Source organism: Homo sapiens, chromosome 19 (assembly GCF_000001405.40).
Source record: "Homo sapiens chromosome 19, GRCh38.p14 Primary Assembly".
In the NCBI taxonomy this organism is placed as follows: domain Eukaryota; kingdom Metazoa; phylum Chordata; class Mammalia; order Primates; family Hominidae; genus Homo; species Homo sapiens.
The window spans coordinates 46037563-46056143 of record NC_000019.10 but is presented as its reverse complement, the minus strand read 5'-3'; the positions used below and the strand labels follow the sequence as shown (position 1 = coordinate 46056143).

The 18581-nt window shown below is 41.8% G+C and overlaps 1 protein-coding gene across 6 annotated transcripts in view; it reads left to right on the top strand.

Annotated features, from left to right (window-relative positions):
* The window catches only part of IGFL4 (IGF like family member 4), a 38448-nt gene extending 21486 nt beyond the window's left edge, over nucleotides 1–16962 (top strand). The window contains exons 3-6 of one of the 6 annotated variants that reach the window (NR_163177.1): nucleotides 15034–15092; nucleotides 15576–15626; nucleotides 15728–15987; nucleotides 16208–16962. Coding sequence is in view for 2 of the 6 variants with exons in the window: in XM_047438851.1 (XP_047294807.1) it covers nucleotides 15182–15200; nucleotides 15576–15626; nucleotides 15728–15987; nucleotides 16208–16252 (375 nt within the window). In the remaining 4 variants the exon portion in view is untranslated. Of the gene's footprint in view, nucleotides 1–15033; nucleotides 15201–15377; nucleotides 15627–15727; nucleotides 15988–16207 lie in introns of those variants that run through there. The other 5 variants (NR_163175.1, NR_163176.1, XM_047438851.1 and 2 more) reach the window with 5 other exon arrangements.
* The last annotated feature ends 1619 nt before the right edge of the window (nucleotides 16963–18581 follow it).

Genomic DNA, 18581 nt, shown 5'->3' with positions numbered 1-18581 from the left:
ATTTGGAAAGTTCAAGGTTGAAAGATGGTGTTACCATTTATGCCACCTTTATATAAAAACTAAATTGGGCTGGGTATGGTGGCTCACGCCTGTAATGCCAGCGCTTTGGAAGGCTGAGGCAGGCCAATCACTTGAGGTCAGGAGTTTGAGATCAGCCTGGCCAACATGGTGAAACCCTGTCTCTACTAAAAATACAAAAATTAGCTGGGCACGGTGGTGGGCACCTGTAATCCTAGCTACTCGGGAGGCTGAGGCGGGAGAATCACTTAAACCCAGCAGGTGGAGCCTGCAGTGAGCCAAGATCATGCCACTGCACTCCAGCCTGGGCAACAGAATGAGTAAGACTTCGTCAAAAAAAAAAATTAAACTGAGCTCTCACAAAACTTTTTGCTGTCAAATTAAATTTTTACCATTCAGCTGTAAAATATTGAGAACAAAGTGTAAATATCTATGATTCTACATTCTGATCTTTCCAAGTATCTCTAAAGCTCTCTTTCCACTTATAAGGACCAGAACTGAAGGATGCAATTAATGATGTAGTTTTTTTTCAATATAGGTAAACACTAATAAGCAAATTCAAATGAAGAGCTTTGACCTCATTTCAAAAGATTGGAAAATTTGTGGCCACAATGTTGAATGGAAATATTCTAGTTAAGATGGGTGTGATAAGATCATGGGAGGTATTCAAGATTCAATCCAGCCATGGGAGGCTAACAAAACATGCAATGATAGATCAAAGAAAACACGTTACTGAAGATTAGCCTGGTGGCACACACCTGTCCTGGCTACCCAGGAAGCTGAAGCAGGAGAAACTGTTGAACTCCTGAAGTTAGAGGCCAGCCTGGGCAACACAGTGAGACCCTATCTGGAAAAGAACAGAAAAGAAATGAAATGAAAAGAAAACATATTACTGAGAACAAATCTGCTGTTATCAAATGCCATTCCCAGGAAGGCATGTTACTTTACATGAGGTGCCTTCACAGTCACAGGTGAGAGCCTGGCAGAACTAATTTGATGACCTTTACCAAGTTTTACTTACTGCTCCCATGGTTCATAGGGGACATATACAGCAGTTCTCTTCATTTCCCTTTTGAGAGAAACTGGGTTTCCCTCCTTAGTCACCAAGACACCAAAGATGTCCAAGTTGGCTATAGGCTCTCTTCAAGTGGCCCTATAAATACCCATACTGAAGGATGATAAAGGGATGTATTGATTTGGCAAACACATCAGCAATAGCTCCAGGGCTGATTCCCTCCATTTCAAATTTTGTTCTTGAAGACAGAAGGCCATCTTCCTTTATCTTCCAACTTTGAAGACTATAGATCTTCTATTCCTTTATCTCTAGGCTACTCACTGTTTTCCTCACATTCATCTTCCCTTGGAACCCTCAGGTTCTTACTTTCTCTTTGAGATTACAGAGGCTCAATTTTTTAGGTATTAGGTCCTTGAGGTATTTATGTCTTTGTTTATTCTTTGGTGTGGGCATCATATGAAAAAAAATGGCTTTTGAGGTATTATTGAGAAAGTAGAGATATGAAAGTACACCACAAGAGACCTGAAAAAGCCAAAGCAATCTTGAGTAAAAAGAACAAAGCTGGAAGCATCACACTACCAGACCTCAAAATATACTACGAAGCTGTCGTAACCAAAATAGCATGGCACTGGCATAAAAATAGACACAGAGACCAATGGAACAGAACAGAAAACCTGAAAATTAATCCAAGTATCTATAGCCAACTGATTTTGACAAAGGTGCCAGGAACACTCATTGGGGAAAGGACAGTCTCTTTAATACATACTGCTGGGGAGACTGAATATCCATATGTAGAACAATGAAACTAGACTCCCATGGATCACCCTATACAAAAATAAACTCAAAATGATTCAAAGATTTACATGTAAAACCTGAAACTACAAAACTTATAGTAGAAAACAGGGAAAATGCTTCAGGATATTAGTCTGAGAAAATATCTTATGAATAAAACCTCAAAAGCACAGGCAATGAAAGCAAAAATAAATAAATGGGATTATATCAAAATAAAAAGCTCTGCACAACAAACAACAGAGTGAAAACATGACTTATAGAATGGAAGAATATTTGAAAACTATTCATCTGACTAGGCATTAATATCCAGAATATACAAAAAACTCAAACATCTCAATAGCAAAAACAAACAAGGTGATTTTAAAATGGGCAAATGATCTGAACAGACATTTCTCAAAAGAAGACATAAAAGTGGGCAACAGATATATGAAAAAACTACTCAACATCACTAATCATCAGGGAAATGCAAATTAAAACCATAATGAGGTATCATCTCACCTGAGTTAGGTTAGCTATTATCAAAAAGATAAAAAATAATGCTGGCAAGGATGCAGAGAAAAGGGAACTCTTACACATTGTTGATTAGAATGTAAATTAATACCACCACTATGTAGAACAGTATGGAGGTTCTTTAAAAACTATAAAAACAACCACTATATCATCCAGCAATCCTACTACTGGGCATTTATCACACACAAAAAAGGAAATCAGTATATCTAAGAGACATCTGCACCTCCATGTTTATTGCAGTAGTATTCACAATAACCAAGATATGGAATCAACCTACGTGTCCAACAGCAGACGAATGAATAAAGAAAATATGGTATATAATCCCAGCACTTTGTGGGGCTGAGGTAGGTGGGATCACTCGAGGCCAGGAGTTCCAGACCACCCTGGCCAACATGGTAAAACCCCGGCTCTACTAAAAATACAAAAGTTAGCCAGGCGTGGTGGTGGGTGCCTGTAATCCCAGCTACTCGGGAGAATGAGGCAGGAGAATCACTCGAACCTGGGAGGTGGAGGTTGCAGTGAGCTGAGATCATGCCACTGCACTTCAGCCTGGGTGACACAGTGAGACAACGTCTCAAACAAAACAAAACAAAACAGATCATTTAAATCAGAACCAAGTGAAGTAACACAGATACCCTGGCTATATTGCAGTGTAAGTGACTAATATTCCCCACTTCAAATAATTGTTATTATTAGCCAACCCCAATTATACAACTTGCCTATCCCCAATTATACAGACATGTTGCATAAAGGGTACAGAAACAGATGGGCCTCCGTTGGCATGTTTACTGTCTATGCATACTTTCCACCGAGGGTTCCTCCTGCTTTTTTTTTTTTTTTTTCTTTTCTGACTTCTCCCAAAGCTTTTCAATTCCCACTACTTCGAGCCCTGGGATGTTTGCTGATACAGAGTAGCAAGCATTTCCAAAAAAAAAAAAAAAACGAGATAACATATAAATACCTGTAGAATTCTAGGGAATAAAACATGTAATGTACATTTTAAGTATGTGTTAATAGTTTTCATGTCTGCAAAGCAATTGATATTTCTGCCTTTTTAGGCTGGGATTAATATACTTTTTTTTTTTTTTGACGGAGTTTCACTGTTGTCGCCCAGGCTGGAGTGCAATGGCGCAATCTCGGCTCTCTGCAACCTCCGACTCCTGGGTTCAAGTGATTCTCCTGCCTCAGTCTCCCGAGTAGCTGGGATTACAGGCACATGCCACCACACCCAGCTAATTTTTGTATTTTTAGTAGAGATGGGGTTTCACCATGTTGGCCAGGCTCAGACTTTTTTGATGTAGGTATTTAATGCTACACTGCTTTTGTTGTATCCCAGAGGTTTTGACAGGTTGTGTCACAATTATCATTCAGGTCAAAGAATTTTTCAATTTCTATCTTTAATTGTTGTCCCAATGATCACTCAGGAGCAGGTTATTTAATTTCCATGTATTTGCATGGTTTTGAAGGTTCCTTTTGGAGTTGATTTCCAATTTTATTCCACTGTGGTCTGAGAGAGTATTTGATATAATTTTGATTTTTTTAAATTTATTGAGATCTATTATACCTGTTTTGTGGCCTATCTTATGGTCTAAGCTAATTCTGAACGTTCCCTGTGCTGAATAGAATGTATACCCTGCAGTCGTTGCATAGAATGTTGTGTAAATATCTGTTAAGTCCATTTGTTCTAGGGTATAGCTTAAGTCCATTGTTTCTTTGTTGACCTTCTGCCTTGATGACCTGTCTAGTGCTATCAATGGATTATTGAAGTCCTGCACTATTACTGTGTTGCTGTCTATCTCAGTATTTACATCTAGTACTAATTGTTTTATAAATTTGGGAGCTCCAGTGTTAGGTGCATGTATATTTAGAACTGTGATTTTTTTGTTAGACTAGTTCTTTTATCATTATATAATATCCCTTTTTGTCTTTTTTAACTGCTGTGGCTTTGAAGTTTGTTTTGTCTAATATAAGAATAGCTACTCCTGCTCCCTTTTGGTGTCCATTTGCATGGGATATCTTTTTCCACCCATTTACCTTAAGTTTATGTGAGTCCTTGTGTGTCAGGTGAGTCACTTGAAGACAGCCACGCACTTGGTTGGTGAGCTCTTATGCATTCTGCCATTCTGTGTCTTTTAAGTGGAGCATTTAGGCCACTGACATTTAACATTAGTATTGAGATGTGAGGTACTATTCTCACATCTCAATACTACATGTTCATCATGTGTTATTATTTTTTGGTTTTGTTTTGTTTTGTTTTGTTTTTTGAGACAAAGTCTCACTCCGTCACCCAGGTTGGAGTGCAGCGGCACGATCTCGGCTCACTGCAACCTCTGCCTCCCGGGTGCAAGTGATTCTCCTGTCTCAGCCTCCTGAGTAGCTGGGATTTACAGGTACCTGCCACCACGCCCACCTGATTTTTGTATTTTAGTAGAGACAGGGTTTCACCATGTTGGCCAAGCTGGTCTCAAACTCCTGACCTCAGGTGATCCACCCGCCTTGGCCTCCCAAAGTGCTGGGATTACAGGTGTGAGCCGCTGTGCCCAGCTCATTGTGTTATTGTTTTATAGGTCCTGTAAGATTTGTGCTTTAAGGAGATTCTATTTTGGTGTATTTTGAGGATTTGTTTCAAGATTTAGACCTCCTTTTAGCAGTTCTTGTAGTGCTGGCTTGGTAGTAGTGAATTTTCTCAGCATTTGTTTGCCTGAAAAAGACTGTATCTTTCCTTCATTTATGAGGCTTAGCTTCACTGAATGAAAAATTCTTGGCTGATAATTGCGTTGTTTAAGGAGACTAAAGATAGGACCTCAATCCCTTCTAATTTGTAGGGTTTCTGCTGAGAAATCTGCTATTAATCTGACAGGTTTTCCTTTATAGGTTACCTGATGCTTTTGCCTCACAGGACTTAAGATTCTTTCCTTCATCTTTTCTTTAGATAACCTGGTGACTATGTGCCTGGGTGATGATCTTTTTGTGATGAGTTTCCCAGGTGTCCGTTGAGCTTCTTGTATTTGAACGTCTAAATCTCTAGCAAGGCCAGGGAAGTTTTTCTCAATTATTCCCTCAAATATGTTTTCAAAACTTTTAGATTTCTCTTCTTCCTCCGGACCACCAACTATTCTTAGGTTGGGACGTTTAATATAATCCCAAACTTCTAGGAGACTTTGTTCATTTTTTAAAATTCTTTTTTCTTTGTCTCTGTTGGATTGGGTTAGTTTGAAAGCCTTGTCTTCAAGCTCTGAGGTTCTTTCTTCTACTTGTTTGATTCTATCGCTGAGACTTTCCAGTGCATTTTGCATTTCTCTAAGTTTGTCCTGGATTTCAAGAAGCTGTGATTGTTTTTTATTTATGATATCTATTTCACTGGAGATTTTTCCATTCATATCCTGTATCTTTTTTTATTTCTTTAAGTTGGACTTCACCTTTCTCTGGTGCCTCCTTGGTTGGCTTCATAATCGATCTTCTGAATTCTTTTTCTGGCAATTCAGAGATTTCATCTTGGTTTGGATCCATTGCTGGTGAGCTAGTGTGATCTTTCGGGGGTGTTAAAGAGGTTTGTTTTATCATATTTACCAAAATTATTTTTCTGTTCCTTTCTCGTTTGGGCAGACTATGTCAGAGGGAAGATCTGAGGCTGAAGGGCTGATGTTCAGATTCTTTTGTCCCAGAGGGGTGCTTCCTTGATGTGGTCCTCTCCCCTTTCCCCTAGGGATGGGGCTTCCTGAGAGCTGAACTGCAGTGATTGTTATTTCTCTTCTGGATCCAGCCACTCAGTGGAGCTACAGGACTCCAGGCTGGTACTGGGGAGTGTCTGCGAAGAGTCCCATGATGTGATCCGTCTTTAGGTCTCTCAACCGTGGATACCAGCACCTACCCTGGTGGAGGTAGCAGGGGAGTGAAGTGGACTCTGTGAGGGTCCTTGGCTGTATGTGTGTTAAGTGCACTGGTTTGTGTTGGTTGGCCTCCAGCCAGGAGGTGGCGCTTTTAAGAGCGCGTCAGCTGTGGTTGTGTGGGGAGGATACAAACTTGCCCTAGGGTCACCTTTGAATGAGTATTCAGGTTTCTCAGGTGATGGGCAGGGCTATAGAGCTCCCAAGAGACTGTGTCCTTTGTCTTCTGCTCCCAGGGCCGATAGAGAAAATCAGGTGGGGGCAGCATTAGGCATGTCTGAGCTCAGAATCTCCTTGGCGGGGACTTGCTGTGGCTGCTATAGGGGATGGGGGTGTGGTTCCCAGGACAATGGAGTTATGTTCCCAGGGGAATTATGGCTATCTCTGCTGCATCACATAGGTCACCAGGGAAGTGAGGGAAAACCAGCAATCACAGACCTCACCCAGCTCCCATGCAGCCCACAACCCAAAAGGCCAGTCTCACTCCCACTATGCCCCCCTAACAGCACCAAGTTTATTTCCAGGCAGCCAGTGAGCAGGACTGAGAACTTGCCCCAGGCTACAAGCCTCCCAGCTGAGAAAGCAAGCAAACTCACAGTTTCTTGATTGTCCCACATAATCTGCAGCAGCAATCCACCTCCTTTAAAGGGTCTCTGGATTCTCTCAGCTTTCCTGGTATGTTCCTGTGGTTGTTCTTGGAGAAAAATTTCATGATGTGGGTCTCCACATGCTTCTCTGTCCCTCCAAGTGGGAGCTGCAAGTTAGTCCTGCCTCCTATCTGTCATCTTTTTGTACAGAGAGATTCCCAGCCATGGCCATCAGAGACCAGGAGGCATTGATCAACCTATGTGTCTGTTCTTATACCAGTACCATGCTGTTTTGGTTACTGTAGCCTTGTAGGATAGTTTGAAGTGAGGTAATGTGATGCCTCTGGCTTTGTTCTTTTTTGCTTAGGATTGTCTTGGCTATTTGGGCTCTTTTTTGGTTCCATATGAATTTTAAAATAGTTTTTTCTAATTATGTGAAGAATGTCAATAGTAGTTTAATGGGAATAGCATTGAATCTATAAGTTACTTTGAGCAGTATGGCCATTTTCACAGTATTCATTCTTCACATCCATGAGCATAGAGTGTTTTTCCATTTATTTGTGTCCTATCTGATTTTTTTTGAGCAGTGATTTGTAGTTCTCCTTGAAGAGGTCCTTCACTTTCCTTGTTAGCTGTATTCTTAGGTATTTTATTCTTTTTGTAGCAATTGTGAATGAGAGTTCATTCGTGATTTGGCTCTCTGCTTGCCTGTTGTTGGTGTATAGGAATGCTAGCAATTTTTGCTCATTGATTTGGTATCCTGAGACTGCTGAAGTTGCTTATCACCTTAAGAAGCTTTTGGGCTGAGATGATGAGGTTTTTCTAGATATAGGATTATGTATCTGCAAACAAGATAATTTGACTTCCTCTCTTCCTATTTGAATACGCTTTATTTCTTTCTCTAGCCTAATTGCCCTGGCCAGAACTTCCAATACTATGTTGAATAGGAGTGGTGAGAGAGGGCATTTTTGTCTTGTGCCAGTTTTCAAGGGGAATGCTTCAAGCTTTTACCCATTCAGTATGATATTGGCTGTGAGTTTGTCATATATGGCTTCTATTATTTTGAGGTACGGTCCTTCAATACTTAGTTTATTGAGAGTTTTTAACATAAAGGGATGTTTAAATTTTATCAAAAGCCTTTTCTGCATCTATTGAGATAATCATGTGTGTTTTGTTTTTAGTTCTGTTTATACGATGAATCACATTTGTTGCTTTGCGTATGTTGAACCAACCTTGCATCCCAGGGATGAAGCCAATGTGGTCATGGTGGATAAGCTTTTTGCTGTGCTGCTGGATTTGGTTTGCCAGTATTTTACTGAGGTTTTTTGCATTGATGTTCATCAAGGATATTGGCCTGAAGTTTTCTTATTTTGTTGTATCTCTGCCAGGTTTTGGTATCAGGATGATGCTGGGCTCATAGGATGAATTAGGGAGGAATCCCTCACTTTCAATTTTTTGGAATAGTTTCCGTAGAAATTGTACCAGATCTTTGTACTTCTGGTAGAATTCAGCTGTGAATGCTTCCAACTTTGGGCTTTTTTTGGTTGGTAGGCTATTTATTACCCCCCAATTTCGGAAATCATAATTGGTCTATTCAGGGATTCAGTTTCTTCTTGGTTTAGTCTTGGGAGGGTGTATGTGTCTAGGGATGTATCCATTTCTTCTAGATTTTCTAGTTTATGTGCATAAAGGTGTTTATAGTATTCTGTGATGTTTGTTTATATTTCCGTGGGGTCAGTGGTAATATCTCCCTTGTCATTTCTGATTATGTTTATTTGATTATTCTCTCTTTTCTTCTTCATTAGTCTGGCTAGCAGTCTATCTATTTTATAAATTTTTTCAAAAAAACAGCTCCTGGATTCATTAATTTTTTGAAGGGCTTTTTGTGTTTCTATCTCCTTCAGTTATTGCTTATTTCTGTTAACCAATAACTTATCTTGGTTATTTCTTGTTTTCTGCTAGCTTTGGGGTTGGTTTGCTCTTGGTTCTCTAGTTCTTTTAGTTGAGATGTTAGGTTGTTAACTTGAGATCTTTCTAGCTTTCTGATGTGGGTTATTTATTGCTATAAATTTCCCTCTTAACACCACTTGAGCTGTGTCCCAGAGAATCGGGTACATTGTCTCTTAGTTCTCATTAGTTTCAAGAATTTCTTGCTTTCTGCCTTGATTTCATTATTTACCCAAGAGTTATTCAGGAGCAGATTGTTCAGTTTCCATGTAGTTGTGTGGTTTTGAGTGAATTTTTAAATCTTGATTTCTAATTTGTTGTGCTGTGGTCTGAGAGACTGTTTGTTATGACTTCAGTTCTTTTGCTTTTGCGAGGAGTGTTTTACTTCTGATTTTGTGATCAATTTTAGAGTGAGTGCCATGTGGCAATGAGAAGAATGTATATTCTGTTGTTTGGGGTAGAGAGTTCTGTAGATATCTATCAGGTCCACTTGATCCAGAGCTGAGTTCAGGTCCTGAATATCTTTGTTAATTTTCTGTCTCGATGATCTAATATTGACAGTGGGTGTTAAAGTATTCCACTATTGTTGTGTGGGAGTCTTAAGTCTCTTGTAGATCTGTAAGAACTTGCTTTATGAATCTGGGTTCTCCTGTATTGGATGCATATATATTTAGGATACTTAGCTCTTCTTGTCCAATTGATCCCTTTACCATTATGTAACACCCTTCTTTGTCTTTCTGGATTTTTGTTGGTTTAAAGTCTGTTTGGTCAGAAACTAGGGTTGCAACCCATGCTTTTTTCTGTTTTCCATTTCCTTGATAAATTTCTCCTCCATCCCTTTATTTTGAGCCTATGTGTGTCCCACATGTGAGATGGGTCTCTCGAAGACAGTATATCAATGGGTCTTGGCTCTTTATCCAACTTGCCATTCTGTGTCTTTTAATTCAGGAATTTAGCCCACTTACATTTAAGGTTAGTATTGTTATGTGTGAATTTGTTCCTGTCATCATGATGCTAGCTGGTTATTTTACAGACTTGTTTTGTTGGTTGCTTCATAGTGTTACTTGTCTGTGTATTTCAGTGTGTTTTTGTAGTGGCTGGTAAAGGTTTTCCCTTTCCATATTTATTGCTTCCTTCAGGAGCTCTTGCAAGGCAGGCTTGGTGGTGACGAATTCCCACAGCATTTGCTTGTCTGAAAAGGACCTTATTTCTCCACTTATGAAGCTTAGTTTGGCTGGATATGAAATCCTGGGTTGGAAATTCTTTTAAGAATGTTGAATATTGGCCCCCAATCTCTTCTGGCTTGTAGGATTTCCACTGAGAGGTCCGCTGGTAGTCTGATGGGCTTTTCTTTGTAGGTTACCTGGCCTTTCTCTCTGGCTGCCCTTAACATTTTTTCTTTCATTTCGACAATGAAGAATCTGCTGATTATATGTCTTGGGGTAAATCTTCTTATGGAGTATCTCACTGGGGTTCTCTGTATTTACTGAATTTGAATGTTGGCCTGTCTTGCAAGTTTGGGGAAGTTCTCCTGGATGATATCCTGGAGTATGTTTTCCAACTTGGTTCCAATTTCCCTGTCTCTTTCAGGTACCCCAATCAGTCATAGATTCTGTCTCTTTACATATTTCTCAGAGGTTTTGTTCAGTTCTTTTTGTTCTTTTTTCTCTATTCTTGTCTGCCTGTATAATTTCAGAAGGACGGTCTTTAAGCTCTGAAATTCTTTCCTCTGCTTGAACTATTCTGTAACTGATACTTATGATTGCATTGTGAAGTTCTTGTGTTTTCCAGTTCCATTGGGTCAGTTATGTTCCTCTCTAAACTGGCTATTCTGTCAGCTCCTGTATAATTTATCATGATTCTTAGCTTATTTGCAATGGGATACAACATCCTCCTTTAGCTCAGTGAAGTTCATTATTACCCATCTTTTTCTTTTTTTTTTTTGAGACAGAGTTTCACTCTTGTCACCCAGGCTGGAGTGCAGTGGCGCGATCTCAGCTCACTGTAACCTCTGCCTCCCGGGTTCAAGCGATTCTCCTGCCTCAGCCTCCTCAGCATCTGGGATTATAGGCATGTGCCACCATGCCCAGCTAACTTTTGTATTTTTAGTAGAGAGGGGGTTTCACCATGTTGGTCAGGCTGGTCTCTAACTCCTGACCTCGTGATCCACCTGCCTCGGCCTCCCAAAGTGCTGGGATTAAAGGTGTGAGCCACTGCGCCTGGCCTATTACCCACCTTCTTAAAACTACTTCTGTTAATTCAGCCATCTCGGTCTCAGCCCAGTTCTGTGCCCTTGCTGGAGAGGTACTGTGGTCATTTGGAAGAGAAGAAGCACTCTGGCTTTTTGAGTTTTCAGCATTTTTGCATTGATTCTTTCTCATCTGTGTGGGTTTACCTTTGATTTTTGAAGTTGCTGACCTTTGAATGAGGTTTCTGTGGGGTCTTTTTTGCTGATGTTGTTGGTGTTTTCTGTTTGTTTTTCTTTTAACAGTCAGGCCACTATTCCACAGGGCTGCTGTGGTGTGCTGGGGGTTTGTTCAAGACCCTGGTTGCCTCCGTTTTTCCCGTACCTGAAGGTGTCACCAGTGAAGGCTGCAAAACAGCAAAGATGGCAGCCTGCTCCTTCCTCTGACCAGTTGTTGACCCAAACGTCCCTGTAGGAGGTGGCTGGAGACCCTTGTTAGGAGGTCTCACCCAGTCAGGAGGAATGGGGTCAGGGAACCACTTAAAGAAGCAGTCTAGCTACAATCTGGCAAGGCAGATGTGCTGTGTTGTGGGGAACCCTTCCTCATCTGGACCATTTGTATTCTCCAAAGCTGGCAGGCTAGAATGGCTGAGTCTACTGAACCACAGAGATGGTGACTGCCCCCACGACACCCCCACCCCAGGAACTTGGTCCTGACCCAGGCAGACTCCGGCCTGTTGCTGTTGGCTGGCTGGAATTCCAAGCCACTGGGTCTTAACTTGTGAGGTGCTGTGGAAGTGGGGTCCACAGAATGACACTGCTTGGTTCTCTGGATTCAGCCCCCTTCATAGAAATATGTATGGAGGGATGTCCTCCCTTGCTGCAGATCCCAGGGCCAGAGTACGTAAAACTCCTGGGTCTCTGTGAGTGCCCCTGTGGCCGCTCTGCCAAGACTCCACACAGCTCTGTGTATTGGACCCAAATCTCTGGGCGTGGGCTTATGTGGGGATCTCTTGATCCTAAGGTTGCAAATATCCATGGGAGAAGCATGGTTTCCCAGGCAGGGTTGCACAATCACTCACTGCTTCACTTGGCTGGGGGCAGGAGTCCCCATACCTCCACACTGCTCCTGGGTGGACCATCACCCTACCCTGCATTTCTTCGTTCTCCATGGGTTGAGAGTGACAACCTGTATATTTCAGTTGAAGATGCTGAATTCACTCACTCCTTTCATTCCTCTCTGTGAGTGCGGTGGACCACAGCTGCTTCTAGTCAGCCATCTTGCCCGCTTCCTGATCTATCCATTTTTTAAATGGACAATGTTTTTTGTATCTTTTCCCTAAGTCATAAGGATTTTTTTTATGTTTTCTTCTAGAAAATGTATAGTTTAACTTTTTATATCTAGATCATTTTGGAGTTAAATTTTGTAGGAAGTGTAAGCTTTGGTAGAAGATTTTTTTTTTCATATGCATGCCCATTGTCCCACACCATTTGTTGAAATGACTATCTTTTCCCACATTGAATTGCTTTTGCATCTTTGTCAAAAGTCAATTTGCCATGTTTGTTTGGGTTTATTTCTGAAATCTGTTCTGCTCCATTGATCTATGTATCTCTCCACTTGCCAATACTATACTGTCTTCATTAGTGTAGCTGGAGTAATTGTGAAATTGGGTAGTGTGAGTCCTCCAACATTTTTCATCAACCAAAATTGTTTGGGCCATTCTTGTTTCCACTGCCTTTCCAGATAAATTCTAGAATTATTTTGCTTCTATCTGAGACAAATCCTGCTTGGGTTTTCATTGGAATTGTGTTAAATCTGTAGACAATTTGGAGAGAATTGACATCTTAGCTAAAAAGCCCCATATTCTAAACTATGACATGATATACCACTCTATATTTAGGTTTTCCTTGATTACTTTAATCACTAGTTTATAGTTTTAAGCATATATATCCTCTACATGTTCTCCTAGATTTACAGTATACCTAAGTATTCAATTTCAGTAGGGGGGCATTATAAATGGCATTGTTCCCCTCTAAATTTTTGTTTCCACTTATTCCAGGAGCGAGAAATACAATTGATTTTTGTGTGTTGACTTTGTATTCTACAACCATCTAAATTTACTTATTAGTTCCCGGAGCTTTGGGGGTAGGTTTACGGTAATGGCTCTGCCCTACTGCCCCGGCGACCTCAAACATCTCCACGTGGGCCACGTTGGTGAAATTAACTGTAGCTGATGTATGTCATGGCAGAACACTCTCTGGTCTTCCCAGAACGTGAGGTCATGGGAGGCTTGTGGGAAGCTGCTACAGCATCACTTGTCACTCACTTCCCTATGGATAAGGGAGGCCGCCATGACACAGCTTCTCACTGCCTCTGGCTTCTAGGGAGGGATGAGGCTTTCTACCTCCCTATACCATGGAGCCACAGGCTGGATTCTCTACTCAGCAACAGGCATCCTATTATTCTTGTTCAGTCATCTGGCCCTTTTGTTTCAGTGTCACCCTGTATAAGGGACATGGTGCTGGCACCTGTGGCTCTTTCTTTCCCTGTCTGTGTAAGTAATAAAGTGTCTGAATCTAAAAAGAGCTTGTTTTTGTCACTAACAGAATCTGTCAGACTCACCTCTTGCTTGACAGTGGGTTCCGTGGGATTTTCTACATAGATAGTTCAATTATACAGAGATCAATTCTAGTAATCAGCTTTGGGATTTCCCTCCTTAGTCACTTGTACTCTTCATTGCAGCTTTCCCTTTCAAGTGGTCATAAATTTCTTGGTTGCTGGCTCGGAGTTATAATGCGGTATTCACACTACTTAACTTGATAAACAGGAATGTAGTTCTTATAGGTCTGTTTCCGCAGCAGCTGTTCTGTGTAGGTGAGAGAATGTGTCTTTACAGGTGGGATTTCTGTTTGGATGTGTGGGAAAGGAGAAGGCATATTGATAAGCAGACAAACAGACATATCTATGCAAATACGCAACTGCAGAAATAGGCGAGGAGAGCTAGTTTATTGCATGAAATCAATACCGAAGACTTGGACATCCAGTCAAGAAAGGAGAGGCCAGGCTGGAGTGCAAATAAGCACAACAACAACAAAATCAATGCACTTTGGGAGGCTGGGGCAGGTGGATTGCTTGAGCTCAGGATTCCAAGACCAGAACATTGTAGGACCCTAACTCTATGAAAAATACAAAAAAATTAGCCAGGCCAGGAGGTGCCTGCCTGTAGTCCCAGCTACTCAAGAGGCTGAGGTGGGAGGATGGCTTCAACTTGGGGGGCAAAGGTTACAGTGAGCAAAGATAGCACCACTGCCCTCCAGCCTGGGAGACAGAGAGATACGGTGTCTCAAAAAAAAAAAAAAAAAAAGAGAGAGAGGAGGGAGGAGGAAGAGACTCTAGAGAGTCTATACTAACAATGCACTTTTACAAAGCTCTAATACCTGTGCCTTATCCTTCTTTCACCCTCCCACCCTTCTCACTGTGACACAGGGAAGAAACCAGTGGAAAATGGAGGGGCATGCTCTAAAAATACGCCACATGTAATCCCATCACACAGTGAGACACACAGGAGCATTTTCTTGGACAAGGCACTCCACAAACCAAAAAAAAAAAAAAGGTGCTGCTTTCCTATCTGGAATCCCAGAGATCCATCCTACCACCGCCTATTTTTGTTGTTGTTGTTCTCCCTGGCACAGTTTTGCAGCCCCTGCTGTTCTTCTAGATTATGCTGCAACTTCACAAATTCTCCTACGTGACTCTGAAAAATTATAGACAGTGCAGGTCTGCAGGTGAACTGAGACGGGGAGTAGAGGGACTCCTTGAAACTTCAGGGTGGAGGAATATGGGGAGCCTAGAGACAGCCGGTGTTTGGTGAGTAATTTGATCTTAGATAAGCAAGAGTTAAGGAATATCTTCCAAGTGGTTTTCCCTTGGGCGGTGTTCAAAGAAAGACACTCAGCAGAGTCAAAGCTTAGATAGGTTCCTGGGTAGCCTTTACCCTGAGGATCTGAAGGGTCTGAGGAGGCAGCAACCACTTGGAACAGGTCCAGAAGCATCTCATTAAGCTTTTGATGAATTATTTATGTTCCCTGCAGCTCTTTTTGCCTAACTCTTCCCAAGAAACCACTCCTTCTGCACACCTCCCTAAATGGCGGTAAGTTCATATCCTATATAAGCCCCTATGTAAAGTCACTGACCCATTTCCACTGCTGCTCCCTCGTCCGCTGCTCTGAAGCCTAACCCATGGTGCCCAGAATTTCTGGTAAGGAGACCCCAGCCCTAGGCTAAGCTAATCCCTAATGATATCACATCCCTAATTATTTCTGAACTTCAAAGTTAATTCTCTCTTCCCTATTTAATTATTGGTGTCCCACCTCATAATCACTGCTATGTCATCTGTGACTGCATTGTAATCTGTCTCCTGAACTGCAAATTCCAGAAGCTTAACTTTTCCCAGAGCCCTCCCTGCCTTTCCTCACCTGCCAAGCCCAGTCCCCAGGACCTGCACCCACAGCCAGTCCCAAAATCCACTCTGAGCTGTTAACAGCAACCAGAGAAGCTCAGAGACATCATCCTGTGCCCCGTGGTCAAGACCTAGTGACCTCAGAATCATTCTCGCTCTCCTTCTGCTTCTCAGCTGCCATCTTCATTTTTGAACTTTTGGGTTCAAACTCAGAAGGAGTCACAGGTGAGAACAGATGCAGTGAGGGAGGAGAGAACAGCATTAAGGTTGGTGGGGAGGTGGTCCTAGGCTGGTCCTTGCAGCCCATCCAGCCCCGACTCTTCCAGATCTTAGACTGTGGCTATGCCAGCCAGCGCCCAGGTGCGGGGAGTGGACCTACAACCCCTTGGAGCAGTGCTGTGATGACGGTGTCATCCTAGACTTGAACCAGACCCGGCTCTGCGGCTCCAGCTGCACCTTCTGGCCCTGCTTCCAGCACTGCTGCCTGGAGTCTTTGGGCTCTCAGAACCAGACAGTTGTGAGGTTCAAGGTCCCAGGCATGAAGCCAGATTGCAAGTCCTCCCCTATCACCAGGATCTGTGCCCAGGTAAGGATCTGACTCCAGTCCAGGCTGTGGGAGGGGGGAGTAGGGAATGGAGCTTGGTTGTCCATGTCCCACCCAGATGTGCAGTCTCTGCTGGGTTCCATACCTTCCCATCTCTCAGTAACCATGCAACTCTGTCTTTCTCCATGTCTCTGTTCCTTCCCCGCCACTGCTGCTACCACCCTCCCTCTTATTCCCCTCTCCCACTTCTCTCCTTCTGCAGGAATACCACCCAAAAAGCCCTGTGTCAAGATCTGACCTCATCTAGACTGTTCTGGGGTAGCAGAGTCACAGATCACTCTAGAATCTAATACTTGGTAATTATACTGCATTGATTTTGTTGTTGTTGTGACAGAGTTTCACTCTGTCCCCCAGGCTGGAGTGCAAATAAGCAACTTCAGCAAAGTCTCAGGATACAAAATCAATGTACAAAAATCACAAGCATTCTTATACACCAACAACAGACAAACAGAGAGCCAAATCATGAGTGAACTCCCATTCACAATTGCTTCACAGAGAATAAAATACCTAGGAATCCAACTTACAAGGGATGTGAAGGACCTCTTCAAGGAGAACTACAAACCACTGCTCAAGGAAATAAAAGAGGATACAAACAAATGGAAGAACATTCCATGCTCATGGGTAGGAAGAATCAATATCGTGAAAATGGCCATACTGCCCAAGGTAATTTACAGATTCAATGCCATCCCCATCAAGCTACCAATGACTTTCTTCACAGAATTGGAAAAAACTACTTTAAAGTTCATATGGAACCAAAAAAGAGCCCTCATCGCCAAGTCAATCCTAAGCCAAAAGAACAAAGCTGGAGGCATCACACTACCTGACTTCAAACTATACTATAAGGCTACAGTAACCAAAACAGCATGGTACTGGTACCAAAACAGAGATATAGATCAATGGAACAGAACAGAGCCCTCAGAAATAACGCCGCATATCTACAACTATCTGATCTTTGACAAACCTGAGAAAAACAAGCAATGGGGAAAGGATTCCCTATTTAATAAATGGTGCTGGGAAAACTGGCTAGCCATATGTAGAAAGCTGAAACTGGATCCCTTCCTTACACCTTATACAAAAATCAATTCAAGATGGATTAAAGACTTAAACGTTAGACCTAAAACCATAAAAACCCTAGAAGAAAACCTAGGCATTACCATTCAGGACATAGGCATGAGCAAGGACTTCATGTCTAAAACACCAAAAGCAATGGCAACAAAAGACAAAATTGACAAATGGGATCTAATTAAACTAAAGAGCTTCTGCACAGCAAAAGAAACTACCATCAGAGTTGAACAGGCAACCTACAAAATGGGAGAAAATTTTTGCAACCTACTCATCTGACAAAGGGCTAATATCCAGAATCTACAATGAACTCAAACAAATTTACAAGAAAAAAACAAACAACCCCATCAAAAAGTGGGCAAAGGACATGAACAGACACTTCTCAAAAGAAGACATTTATGCAGCCAAAAAACACATGAAAAAATGCTCATCATCACTGGCCATCAGAGAACTGCAAATCAAAACCACAATGAGATACCATCTCACACCAGTTAGAATGGCAATCATTAAAAAGTCAGGAAACAACAGGTGCTGGAGAGGATGTGGAGAAATAGGAACACTTTTACACTGTTGGTGGGACTGTAAACTAGTTCAACCATGGTGGAAGTCAGTGTGGCGATTCCTCAGGGATCTAGAACTGGAAATACCATTTGACCCAGCCATCCCATTACTGGGTATATACCCAAAGGACTATAAATCATGCTGTTATAAAGACACCTGCACACGTATGTTTATTGCGGCATTATTCACAATAGCAAAGACTTGGAACCAACCCAAATGTCGATCTATGATAGACTGGATTAAGAAAATGTGGCACATATACACCATGGAACACTATGCAGCCATAAAAAATGATGAGTTCATGTCCTTTGTAGGGACATGGATGAAATTGGAAATCATCATTCTCAGTAAACTATCGCAAGAACAAAAAACCAAACACCGCATATTCTCACTCATAGGTGGGAATTGAACAATGAGATCACATGGACACAGGAAGGGGAATATCACACTCTGGGGACTGTTGTGGGGTGGGGGGAGGGGGGCGGGATAGCATCGGGAGATATACCTACTGCTAGATGACAAGTTAGTGGGTGCAGCGCACCAGCATGGCACATGTATACATATGTAACTAACCTGCACAAGCACATGTACCCTAAAACTTAAAGTATAATAAAAAAATAAAAATAAAAAATAAAGGATGAGTTCAGACCCCTTTCCCCTCTTGTGTGCATGGGCTCTCTTGTCTTTTGCATTCTGCCATGGGGTGACACAGCAAGAAGGCCCTTGCCAGATGTGGACCCCTGGACCTTGGACTTCCCAGCCTCCAGAACCATAAGAAATAAATCTCTGTTCTTTTTAAATTATCCAATCCACTTCTGTTATAGCATCAGAAAATGTACAAGACAACATGGTTGTGGAAATTGCACTGGCTTATTTGTAGTTTTTTTTTAAGCTACAAAACTAAGAACAAATTTTAGTTTATTGAAACTAAATGACTGGCAAGAGAGGAAGAA